General features: G+C 32.6%; 1 annotated feature.

The window, feature by feature from the left end:
* Positions 8,154 to 9,718: an enhancer, noted in NCBI's record as "VISTA enhancer hs213". NCBI's record gives its function as "enhancer in: limb[2/3]" and the evidence as "EXISTENCE:transgenic organism evidence [ECO:0001131][PMID:17130149]".

Genomic DNA, 14,260 nt, shown 5'->3' with positions numbered 1-14,260 from the left:
TGGACAATATTTTCTGATTATGGGTAATAATGATACAGTAAATAAAGCTTTTACCACCTTCTCACTTTTTTGCTTATCACTTCAACGAAGAATTCTCCTTATCTATTTCACCTTCCTAGGGTGGAGGTAAACTACTAATTGCCGTTTTGGTTTTCCTCATGCCATCTTTATGTTACCTCCTTTTTACTCTTACCCTTTTCTAACCTTTTCAAATTCCGTTCTCTTTTCTTGCATCCTTGATACAGAAAGATAATGTATGAATTTATGCCTTCATCAATTTAAAGTCTTACAGACAAATATGTAGGCTTGGTTTTGAACAATCTCAACAGCCACTCTGCAGTTAAGCTAGAATCCCTGCTAAGTAGCTTACTAATGCTTTAAACAAAATCATGAAATCATAGATACGTCATTTTATATAGAGATGTATATAAGAGACACAGAGATGTCATTTATGTTTCTTGATTTATTATCATTTTCCATGAAGTAAGAAGAAATTGATGGAGAAGGTGTTCTTGTGAGGTCTTCATTTAAAATAATATAAAAAATAAGAATTCATCAATAAGCATGATAAAACAAAGTTGGAAAGAGCAGCTACCTCTCATTGATTACTTATAGCTTGTGCATTTTATTTCTCACTATCTAAACCTAACCATAGGATTTGGCAACCACTCCAGCAATCTGAATTTTGTAAGACAGAGATAAGAGGTTATAGTCATAGCTATTTTCAATGCCAGGAATGAGAATGCTATGTGTGGAGTTTATAGAAATTATTCTCATGATTATTTAAATGTTAGGCGTGCCATAGTAATTTAGATAGGCAATTTTAAAAGGAAAACAATTTCATTGAAAATTGGGTGTATGTAACTTTAAAGGTTTTTGGCTTGGGCTCAGGCTTTCTCCAATAGGCTGACCAGTTTGGGTAGTGATTGGCAACTTCTTTTCTAGGTTTCCCAATTGGTGCGGTTTCAAACAGCAGGAGGGCAACCTCTCTGAATTCAGAACACCGAACAATTCTAGTTCAAATCAAATCTCTGCCTTTTAAACCTCGCCTAAAAAGATTCTCTCTCTGAAATCTCCTACAGAGACAGAGGTATCTTTATTACTTCTAACATTAGCTGAGTATTTAAAATATTACAGAGTATAATATCAAACTAGCTCTGTCCCAGGGCCTCCTCCACCTATACTAATACGCATCTATGTACTAAGACAATCTATTATATTATAGTATTTGTCAAAAACCAACTTTAAGCAGAAAATAAATTACTGTTTCTAAGTGAAACATTAACCTACTAATGGTGGGCATGCTTGCTCTGTGAATCAGTATTCTTAACCTAATAACACCTATAGTTCTGAGAGACAAGCTGTTGTCAAGATGCTGGCTCTATATGAGAAAGTTGCTTTTGTTTCATAACATGTATCCCTTATCCCCGCTCTGTGTGCCCGCCTTACATTTACTCTAGTTGATCGTGATTGTCTTCAGGTTTTAGTTTTGGAACTGTGGTGTGTGTGCCAGAAGTGCAACTTTTGCCATGATTCAAAAAGCACACCGGAGGCTGCTATACCACTCTGGCTGTTACTTTTTGGGAATGGGAGCAAGCAGAAAAATATACGTTTGGTAAAATCAAATTGAGTACCGTGTTTATTTGGTACTACTTGTGGCTACAATAGAAAACATTTCTTTGCACGTTTTCCTCTTGAATACAATCTGGAGTTTAGTTTTTTAAAACACTTTTTTTTTTCCCTGAGACTGGGTCTCACTGTGTTGCCCAGTCTGGCTTCCAACTCCCAGGCTCAAAGCAATCCCCTGGCCTCAGCCTCCCAAGTAGCTGGGACTTTAGGTGCATACCACTGTGCTTGGCTGCAGTTATTGTTTAATATGACATTAAATTATATATGAATGAATAATTTTTCATTTATGGTATAAGTTTTAATGAACTTTTCCATGAGAATAGAATGTTAAGGTTTAGAATTATGTCCTGGTTACAGGTTAGGGAATTAGAAACCACCTTTTAAAAAATTTCTTTTATTCAAGATTATAATTTCTCCACACAACCCCCTTCTCTCTCCTAAAAATGGGCAAAAATCTGTTAACAGTTTTATGATTTGAATTTTAAGGCCATGTAAATATAGCAGGTATTATATATGATATTTTTTATATTTAACAAACATGCAAAAGATCTTTTTAATACTCCTTTTTATTTGCTTAATACAAGTATTGATGATTTTGTTTTGTTATTCAAATGGCATATATAGACTGGGGGTGTAATTCCTAAAATATTTTTTTTCAGGCCTAGGGAAAAGCCGAAATAGAAACCACAAATAACAAATTTTTATAAATTGCCATCTCTGGTTGGCTAGTTCTTCTCTGAAAGAAGTACTACAAAATAGAATGATGAAGAGAATATGAATTTAAGATTTACTTCATAAGAATTCTAAATTCTCCAAGTTTTATATTTAGTATATGACATTCCTCTAAGTAGAATAACTTTTGGCTTTTTTGTTTTCATATTTAAATATGTATTTAAATCATTTTTCTTAGAATTTAAAAACATATAGTCTTTGAAATAACTTAATTTTCAATAATGTGTGTAAAATAGCTGTATTTGCACTGATTTGTCCTGGACAATCAAAAAGAGTCATGCATTATAGCCATCTAATTATTCAAACTTTCCTAAAAATAGCTTAAAAGCAATTTAGAAAATAATAGAATATACATTCTTTACTCTGGGTAGAATGCTAGAAATAATGAGAGTCTTGGAAAATAATATCAACACATTAGGTATTCAAGAGAATGAAAAAATACAATTCAACAACAACAACAACAAAGACTTAGGGGATAATGATGAACAGTTTAGACAAAGACATTAACTGTAATGTCAACTGCAGCAAAACAACATAAAAAACTATGACTTGTGGCCCTTCATTGGAAAAATGTTAGGGGCAACTAAAACATTGGGAATATATGTAATTGAAAGAAATACAAATTCCTTTATGAAAACTGAAAAAATGAGCACAGGGCTACAGGAATCAACTAAAAAAAGATAATGAGGACTACATAGGGGTGGAATGCAAATATAATGAATTTTAAAAAGATGATGCTTTTTATTTGTATTCATTTCTCTCAGTTTGCTTTTTTTTTTAAACAGAAGGATTTGTACAATAGGAGAGATACTTTAAATTGTATTATAGTATGCTATCTATAATTGGATAGGATTCAAGTAGATTTTCAAATTAGCTTACTTCAATTCAGGGGATATACTAAATACCTCTATATGTACATTTGAACTGGAAAGAAGAGCCAAAATCCTTTTCTATATATATTTAGAGCTTTAAAAAATAATAATTAAAAAAAAGTAAGTTAAAAGAGTTTCAGAGGAGAAGAGAAAGGCACACATATTTTCTTCTAATGAACTCAAAAGCATCTCTCAATTTTAGAATTTGTGGTGGAAAACTACATTTTGATCGACACAGGTGTGCAGGGAGGGAGGTTGTCAGTCTGATATGAACCACATTAAGAGGAGGGAGATACTTTAGGGTGAGAAAAATAAAAAGGGCTTGACAAAAAGAAAACAAGAAAAAAACAGAGAGAACGGATATGGGGGAAGGAAAATGCTCAAAGTAATTTAAGCTGAAACAATACCTCAAGCTCAAAACAATTACCTCAATATTGTACAAATTATCTATTTAGTTGGAATCAACAAAGTGACATTATTATGCCCACCTCTTATAGCACATACCACCTACTTCAATATTCAATGAAAAATAAACAGAAAGAGTGAACTTCTTGATAATTTACCCAATAAAGCCACGAAGCACCAAGGATGTTGCCACTGTTTGGTCTCTCTCACATTGTCCATCAGTCTGGGAGAAATACGCAAACTGGGTGATGACATTTCTATCTGCACACCTGCCCAGTGACCAGTGTTTTGTTAGGATCCAGCTGTATTTAGCTATTTAAACATGACAAACTCCGTATTAAGGATCTTAAACTTGCAATTAAAAAGGTATTGTCTAGAGAAAACTCTAATGGCTCTGTGAAAAAACTCTTAATTCCACTTACTAAATATAAAATCAAATATTGCAATTAATTATAGACTGTGCCAAGGCGACCCTTTTGCTGACCACATTACCAGTCCTCAAATGGGGAATGGGTAAATGTTTTCTGATGAGGGCTAAATTGTTGCCTTCTGCTCTATCAACTGTTTTCATAACCCTTCAGTTCCTTTGGCCCTCATCTGTTCTCCTATGGGTTTTGAGGCTGGATTTTACGGCTTCCTTCTCCTTAGATTAATGTTCAACAACTAAGGCTTTGTTGTTCTCAGTGCGAACCTTACAACTTTGTTTCCCTCTGCCCTTCTTTGTTGAATGTGTTCATTTCCCTAACAGAATGTCTCTCTCATGCAGTCGTCAGTCTGGACATTGGCCTCTGTGTTATTGCTTGTCCATGCAGCTGCAGCTTCTCCTGCCCTCACTTACCTCGGGTTTCATATCTAGTGGGCCAAGTTTTCAGTGCTCATCCCCACTTGGTGACCCATGGCATGTACCCTATCTTCACTCATGGTATTTCCTCATGGTTCTAGGGGACTTCTGCATCAAGGAGGATTCAAGCTCTATGATCATTCTCCTTTAATAAGGGCTGTTCTCAGGCCATCCAGCTGAGTAGGAGGCTGGCTGCCTTTTGCTGAGATTTATCTGGCCATCTCTTCCTGACTTTCTTTATCTCTTGTGGCAAGGTCTGTCTCATTTCCTTAGGATGTTGATGCTGGAAAGGTCTAGATTTAAGGGGGGCTATTTAGAAGGCCATGTTGTTTATCTGACTTAGGAAGCCAAATCAATAATGTCTCATAGTTACTTTTGCTTACTGTGTGAGTTAAGCTAAGGTACTTAACCTCTCTGTGCCTCAGTTTCCTCCTTTAGGTAATGTGTAATTATTCCACGTATTGTACACAAATGAAATGAGTTGTGTAAGGATGAGTGACAAAATAACTTGGTGTCTTATGCTCTTAGTACAGTATTTGGCATTCAGCAAGTGCCATGGAAGTTTTGCTAGTTTTATTGTTATTCTTTCAAGAGTAGACTTTTTTTCTTTCTTTCTTTTTGAGATGGAGTCACTCTGTCACCCAGGCTGGAGTGCAGTTGCCCCATCTAGGCTCACTGCAACCTCCGCCTCCCAGGTTCAAGTGATTCTCCTGCCTCAGGCTCCCAAGTAGCTGGGACTACAGGCATGTGCCACCATGCCGAGATAATTTTTGTATTTTTGTATTTGTAGAGACGGGTTTTCACTATGTTGGCTAGGCTGGTCTTGAACCCCTGACCTCAGGTGATCCACCCGCCTCAGCCTCCTAAAGTGCTGGGATTAAAGGTGTAAGCCACTGCACCTGGCCAAGAGTAGATTTTTGAATACAAGGAGTGTGTCTGCTTGTTGGGTTGTAGAGCTGGAGGTAGAAATTTTAATCATTTCATGACCACAAGGTGTATATTACATCCTTATGTAATAAACTTAATTTAGCTTCACAGCAGCATAGTTTATAATGCCATTTTTAGGCTGTGAACAATGTTTTTATCTAAAATAGTGATTTAAATTCTAGGGCTTGAATTTACACTCCATCCCAGAACTACAGAATATTTTGTTTGGCAGGGGAAGCACATTACCTTTATTATTCTACTTGGTTAGAGAATATTTGCAAAATTGCCTATGTAAGATTTAGGAATCTTAACAGATATTTCCAGTTTTAATGGTGTGTTTCTTCAGAAAAGAACTACTGCTCACTGTAGAATTATAATCCTATGATGAAGAAAAGTAGTTTTTTTCTAATTTGCATATATTTATACGATAAAATATGAGAGAAATAGAAATTGAAATAATAACTGAAATAATTTCATAAAATATGAAAGAAATAGAAATTGAAATAATTGAAAGTTATTAATCAAGATTTTTGGTAATATATAAATTAGGCATTTCACTTAAAAAATTTGCAATATGTTGAAGACAAGTGACGAATAGTCTTCAGTTTTGCCAAAAGTATAGCTTTAAAATGTATAAAAGCATAGCTTTAAAATGTATAAGACAATTAACATTTCTTCCTAATTATCCCTATTGTGGGTGATGAAATTGACAGGGATGGTAGGGGAGAAAGTGAAAAGCATACTTGCTTTAGCTTTTGTAAACACATGCCTTCAGAGAACAATAAAGATTTTTATTGTCAGATATGAAACTGCAAGAGCCCTCTATTGTCATACTTTACAGAGTGTGTTTATTTGTCTTTGAAAGCTTGGCACTCTCATATACATTTGTAACCTGTTAGAGGAGTAAAGGCTATTTTGTTAGTTATTGTTGACATGAAACACATTGAGCTATAGATAATAATTACAGTTTTATATGTTAACTATATGTTATGTAGTTTTATACATTCCCTTTGATATTTGAAAGCTCTTAAGATATTTTAAATGATAAAGGAATATTAAATAAATAATCTACAGTTACTTAAAAATAGCAGAGTTTAAAAAGCCTGGTTTGTTGATTTTTCATTTAGAGAGGAATAAAAAACTATAGGCATTTTTGAGGCTTCACAAGATTAAAAAATGGTTTTATATTTTTACATATTTAGATACCTATAAATACATGCAGTTAAGCCTATATATTTCCAATGAGAAATTTGAGTTTGTTTCCACATTGTAATGCCAGTATAATTTTCAGATGCCAGAAAACATTGTTTTGGTGATTTCTTCCTCTGTCTTTACCTTGCTTCCTTCCTTCTTTCCTTTTTTTCTTCTTCTTTTTTTTTGAAATGATGACAGTAAATGTTGGACTTTTTAAAAGGTGTCATAATTTTAGTCTGTAAAAATTTTTAAATATTACAACCAGCATTGGACTGGTTGTAATATTTATAGACACTTACAAAAGAGTTGTTGCATGACTAATCACACAATCACTCTGGTAGTTAGATTGAAACTTTTAGAATTTTTGTTATGAAAATAAAAACCTGCTAGTAAAATGCAAAGTTACACATATATTTGTAATAGTCTCTCAAATAAATGTTTTTTAAATAAGGATACATCACTATGGGCTAAAATTTTAAGAAATAACTTTTTATTTATTTCTTTTAGTTTTAAGGGACATGATTTCACCTTAATAGCCTTTTTGAGTTCTATCATATTGCAAATGTTATGGAATATCAAGGCAATTCTACTTAACGTAGTTTAAAATTAAACCTATATTAGACTTTCTTAGTAATAAAGCAACTTCAACAACACGAAACCATTGAAGTAATTTTCTTTGAAGTAGCAAATGAATTAGAAGATTAATTAACAACTAATTACCCTGGATTATTTGATTACTACCTAAATAATGTAGATATAATTTTTCAATGGATTTTAGTTTTAATTTTACCTGATGAAATTGAGGTCATCTGAAAGCATCTATTTAATGGAGCTAGAAATTTGTCTGCCAGGGCTGCTGAGAAATATTATTTTAACTTTACCTTTTCTTGTGATGATCACATGAGGAAAAGTTCAGCTATGCAGTCACATTTAATTTGCACTGCAGAGAAGAATAAATCACTAATTTGTCAAAAGGTGTGGAGAAGAATTGATTTACCTTTATTCTGCAACCAATGTCTCCAGAATTTTAGATTATGAACATATGACATTGGAATGTGAGAAATTAAAAGAGAAAACAATATAAATAATCTTTTTGCCAAATACAAATCTCTAATTATAATGGAAAGGGGAGAACCAAAGATTCAGTAATTAAGGAAATGTGTTCTTCTTTTAAGTATTTCTGAAAATGTATTGAGAATATAGGAGTCAAATATAGCACATTTACTTCTGAATCTACTGTATTTACCTGAAAGGACTGGGACCTTATTATTAATATTCTATAAGTAAAGCATGCTGACCATTGTGAAATTTACACAACGAATCCATTTTCCACTGTACATTTGAATATTTGTAATATCAGGTAAGTTATAATTAAATCCACACACATTTATTCTACATATCAAAATAAGATACATTTTTCACTTTCTTGGTTGTAAACATGTGTTCTAGAGGTGAGCAACATCAATATTACTTTGACTCGTGTAGAAATTGTTTGCTATTAAACTGTGCTTCAGTTTGCAAACTAAAACGTATGCCATGGGACCACATCAAAGGCCATCACGCTGTCATTAAAAGACATCAAAGGGCATTCTCTCTGTAGCCTGTAAGTTTTATGGCAAGTATCTCATAGAGATGTCAGGTCATTGGGAAAGCCAGGAGAAGACTCCATCTAAACTCAGTTGTCTTTGGTTCCTTTCATCTGTTTGGGAAGGTAGGCATCTTGGGTTAGAAAGAGTTTGGCAGTGATTTGAATACTGGACATCAAGCCTCTCTGATTTCAGCTGCTCTCAGCATGGAGACTGTAGTCATGGTCTGTCCTGATGAACACATCTGGGGAACAGAAAAATGATCCTTGTGATAATGTCATTGAGTGCTTGTGAGGCATAAAGCCATAAGCTTCTTTTTTGCTCCTCTGAGGATGCAATCACATAGGTAATTTTGGTGTACTTAGGTAATTCAGGATAACTTTGGGAAGGGACCATTTCTAAATTCAAAAGCAGTACTCTCATTTGCTTAGTGTGGGGCTGAGGCATTTTCTACAGAACAGAATAATGGAATTTCTATTTAAACAAAGTAGCACAGTAAATTTAGTTTCTTCTAGTTAAAGCATGTTCATGTAATTATTCCCTTAATGAGATATTACGAAAGCCTATATGGAGAATAATATCTTTACAATCAAATTAGGGGACAACGATGGCTAAGTTTCAGCTGATTAGAGAAATGCATGTATTGTACATGAAAACAAATACTTATAGTCTTCCTTAGGTGTTTTTTTAATGTATATATAATTTGTTTTCCAGCCACATCTGCACAATCCCAGGGTACGTTAATTTAATTTTGCTTAAGAAGTATATCCTTTATTTTGTCATAAGCCTAAAACATATCTTGGCTGGTTGTTTCTACCTATTAGGACCAAACAAAATTTGCACGAGAACTAACAAATTGTCATGAGAAATGAAGGTTTTTCTTTTGAGGGGGGTCTAATGAATTAATATATTTACAGGACACAGTTAAAAGCATTTTGTACTACTTTGATCATTCACTTACATGTCATTAAGTAGTCTAAGCATTTTGTTATGAAAGGGCTCTGTTTACAAATTAGACCAAAGAACACGTTTCACACTGAAGATCAGCATATATATTGTATTTTTTTTCAGATGCACATGACACAACCTTAATATTAGAGCCAGATGATTAAAAGAACATTACCTGAGCCATGAGAGTCACTGAATGAGCTATGCTAAATTGGTTGTTTTCTGTTTTGTGATTAATTGTGCTTCTAAACCATATTTTAGTGTGCTTTGTTTTTCTGTCCCCAGTCATCCCATATTATTAAAGAGAAATTCTGCATATCTCTCCTGGAGTCCAATTAAGGATTTGCATCATGACTAGATTTTTCACTTTAATTACTGTATATAAAGTAGGTTTTGACTTATTTCCATATTTATCAAACTATGCAGAAGAAGCAAAATTCATCAAATAAACAGATATCTGTGGCTATAATTGCAGCCTGCATCTAGGATGTAGGAAGAAAATATGAGGGTCCAAATTTCATTATGTAGAACATAATAAACATCTGAATAATTAAACTGTGTGTAAATCATAGGCTTGGCAATAGTAAGAAGAGGAGACACCTTCATTTCATTCAAAAATATTTTAAATATATTTCTAAGAATATATCCCAAACATTAAACAAACAACAAGTTGAAAACATGTCTTATCAGGTCAAAATTTTACACTGGATAATGTGTATTTGAAACATTTTAAAATTAATTATATAATATATGATAAGCTCTCTATGTACATGGATTTCCAAAAGTCCCTCTTTTCTTTTTAGCAAGTAGGTGAATAAAACTAAAAAGAAAATAGCTAATTATTTTGATGATTTTCTTTATACTGACTGCAAGTAATTAACATTGCAAAAGTGATCTATGAATTTCTAGGACTAAAAAAACAAAAACAAAAAACCTGGCTCCTAAATATATATAATTTAAAGCTCCAAATAAACATTCTACTTACAATGTTTAACTATCTTCTTCTTATGTATAGTTAATTGTGTATTAAAGGATTTTAAGCTAATAAATGTAGGGGCTATTACATTTATTATATTAAAAATTTAATGACGGAAAGTATATTAATATCACGATTAAGATACTAGCAACTTATCAAGAGTGTAAAACTTAAGACTTCATTTTAAGCATGATTCTTTAACTTTTAAGACATTCAGAAAAAAATTCAAATAGGTTTTCCTTAGATTATTTAATTACAAAAACTTAAATTGTCTCTAGTGTCACAAATGAATTAGATTTATTAATTTCAAAACTTTCAAAAAGATATTTTAATTTAAAATTTTAGCATTGTTAAGCTTCTGACAAGGAAAGTTTAATTCTGGTTATTGTAAGGTTTCTAAGGGCTTTGAATTAATTTACTTGTAAGCCCTGCTGTGAATGTAGCTGGTTACTTTTGAATTAGATATTAAGGACAGATAAAGTGATGAACCTGCTTGGCTTTGACTACATGAAGATTTATCATATTTTGATTTCCACAGGCTCCCAGAAGTGAGGATGTCTAGAAAATAGGATCTGCCTAATGTTGTCTGAAACCATTCATTTCTCCCTCTCAATTGATAAAGCAACTTCCTTTTTACTTTCAGATATGTTACAAAATGCAAGAATACAGGCATTTAAAGGTAGTTACAGCTAACCCTATTAAGGCCAGTATGTTATGGCTCATCTACATAACTTGGGTATGTCCCAGTGTGCAATGCATGGAAATAGGTAATGTACAAACGTGGATATAGAAGTGTGGTATGTGCCTATTTGAATTTTTGGCAGGTGAGGAAATAGTTGTGAATTAACGCAAATAATGAGTAACTGCACATCTCTTCATACTAACCATTCTCATAAATGTATGAATACTTTACCTGGTCTCTTTTGGTGTTTCAGCTGGCCTTCCTGGGCCAGCATCCAATCCCTTTCTTAAAGTTTATATTCCAGAAACTGTTGAATAATAAAAAAATGAAATAACTAGGGATTGTATGTGAACACCTTAAAAATTATTAGCAGAATTGAATAAAATCAGTTAAGTGGATGTTTAATGGCATGCTCATAAAAAATATTTAGTTGTTTGGCTTAAAATGATGTTTTCAAAACCCATGTCATTAAATGAAGTTATTTAGATGGTCTTATAATAAAGAGATATTATGTCATAAAACTAGGAGAGAAAAGTTTCATTTGTCTATTACGGGGTAGAAATGGTGATAAAATGTTAAAAGGATAATTACAAACATGGAATTTATAAATTTCAGTGGTACAAATTGTAGTTTGATATTCTGAATATAGAACACTTCAGTGAAATATTCCCAGAGCCAAATATTCATTTTATAGTTGAAGACAGTTTTCAATAATATTAGTTTTTTAGAAGAAAGAAAAACTATAACTGATATCTATATTTCATGAATAGTTCTAAAATGGCTTCTTATTTCCCTCATTGGTTTTGACTATAGTGATAGTGTTAAATGAATAATTTAAGAAACAAGTATTTTTTGAAGAAAAATCTTTTAGTTTTAATTTACAAAATAGATTTGCTTAGTATAATACCCAGTGTAGAATTATGGACACAGGTTGTTTCCTTCCTCAATAATTGAATATGGTCTGTTTCATCAGTAAGGATCTTCTTAAAGGAAGTATCTGCTAATATCTAGAATTCTTCGCAACTCAGAAAATATATATTTCCTTTCACTTATTTTTCTCTTCTTCTTCAATAAAAACTTTAGGCTTCCACTGTAGAAAAAAAGTTGTTGTTTAATAAGGAGATTCCTGGGCCTTACTATAGCAGCACTTATTTGAAATTTGTGGGATTGAGGCCTGGGAATATGCATTGTAAACAATTATCTTAGGCAGTAGTGGGCTGACAGATGTTTAAGAATTTGCTCAATGAAAAAAAGTATATATACATGTACATGTATATTATAAATGCTATTATATAAAGAATGTACTGTGAACAGTTTTAAAATAATAAAATATACAATATTATTTACTGTAAATTCCATATAGCCAATTGATTCTCAGAGTGCTGCCTTTAATTTTTGTTGAACTCTACTTGTATCCAAACTGTGGTTGCCATTGGTGAATGAATGTAGTTTCAATATGAATGCTGGTTGATATTTTTGCTTATAGTAAGAAAACAAACCAATTAAGACATGTTGAAACTCACTTGTTAGTTAATAATGTTACTTTTTTTCTGAATAGGATAATTGTTTTCAAATATTGGAGGAACATTTCTTCAATTTTTGAGTTACTCATAATTTAATGACTACAGAAATGGCACATTTTTAAGTTTAATCTACATTAGTGTAGACAACAATATCAACACAATAATAAGGCTTGTTTTGTAACATTTTTCAAATTTAATGGTATAAGTATTCCCACCAGTTTCAGACCATTTTCAAGCTACCAATGTGACGTCACTTAAAGTAGACCTAAAGAGCGAGATAATAGTAAAGTGTGGTTAATATAAAGTGAAGGATTTTAAATACTTATTATCTTTATTTTTAAAGTAGTTTAGGTAATTTTAATATATTCAATATACTACATATTTTAACACAAAATTTAGTTTTTAATAATGATTTTATTTAACAACCAGCTGACAAAGTTTCTAAACATTTAACAACTTAAAAATTTTTTAAAGATAGAATCAGAAGATTATAAATTTCTCAAGGGGATAAATAGATATAAAGATAGATTACATTTATAACGGATTGCACACAGCTTACGTACATAAGCATGTGATAGGTTGTTGTGTTAGTATATTAACATAAAACTACAAGGAATAAAGTATTTATTCAGTTCCTTTAAGGCACTTAGCTTTGTACTAATAGTTGTGGAAAATGCAGAAACATAAGACTTTTTTTTTAAACATTAGAAGCTCATAATATATTTGTGTGAAAAAAATTGTGATCATATAGTGATTAATGTAGAATGAAGTGCTAAAGGAGGGAGCAGACGGATAGCTCTATGAGAACTGCAGATAGGATGGAGGGTATTTTGGAAGAGGTGGGAGTTAATTGGAAACCTGAAAAACGAGTAGTGAAACCCAGACATTGATCTCATATTATGGAGGAAGGAAGAGTGCAGAACGCAACAAAATTAGCGGAACATATACACAAAATCCAGAAAAATATTTTTCCCGTTCTTTTCTTCAGGTTCCAGTAATGTAATCCAATCCATACATAGTTAACAGGGTGTTAGGATTTTGAGAGTGTCAGTTCACAGGATTCTTAGCTCTGTGGTTTCTTGGGGTGTATCCTATGACATCATCCTCCAGGAGATCTATTTTCTTAAGCCCCTTCTCCTTGCAGTCTTTTAGCATCTTTGCTCTTCCCTGACATTGTCCCACTTCCTCCTGAATCATTGGTTCCTCTGAATCATTTGTTTGTTGCCCTTCTTGTTCTAATGGGCAACAAATACTAAGCCCTGTAAGATCAGCAAAAGGTTAATTGGCTTCAGTGTCAATCTGTTTAACAACAATCTTTTGTATGTACAGTATATTAAACGTCCGGAAATAAAGATAGAGGGTATCTACCCTTCTCTTCTAAGTAAGTTCACATAGAAGTAAAGACATTCTCAGAAAAATGTAGATAAAGAAAATTTTAATGGAACTATCCACCAGCTAAGACCTAGTACAGAGGAAAGTTGAGATTTCTGACTCCAAAGGAAGGAAGGTTAAGGGTCATGGTTTCTCAGCACTCCAGATAGGGTTTATCATATAGAGGAAGATGTGTGTATGTTGGGCATTAATCTGATAGTGATACAGTTTCAGAAAGATGATTCTTTGTTCATCTGGCCAGAGGAGACACAATACTTTACCTTTACTCATCCTTCAATTTATCAAAATGTTGTATTTTCCTTATTATTTGCACTATGTAAATATTGTTTTCTCATACACCAAATAGTATCTGATGATTACATTTTGTATTATGTAACTTTTTATTTTTCCTGGAGTTAAACTGTGTTACTTTTAAAATTTGTTAGTTTTTTCTAGCCAAATCTTCCCATGATGTACAAAAGCTCTGTCAAATGTTCCCAATAAATAACTTATCTCTTATGTTTGGGTCCTCTGTTTCTGATTCCCATATTTACTTCAATCCGAAATCATACCC

The sequence above is a fragment of the Homo sapiens genome, chromosome 3 (genome assembly GCF_000001405.40).
Source record: "Homo sapiens chromosome 3, GRCh38.p14 Primary Assembly".
Classification (NCBI taxonomy): domain Eukaryota; kingdom Metazoa; phylum Chordata; class Mammalia; order Primates; family Hominidae; genus Homo; species Homo sapiens.
Note: the sequence above shows the minus strand (reverse complement) of the source record. Positions and strands in the feature narration are given on the sequence as shown.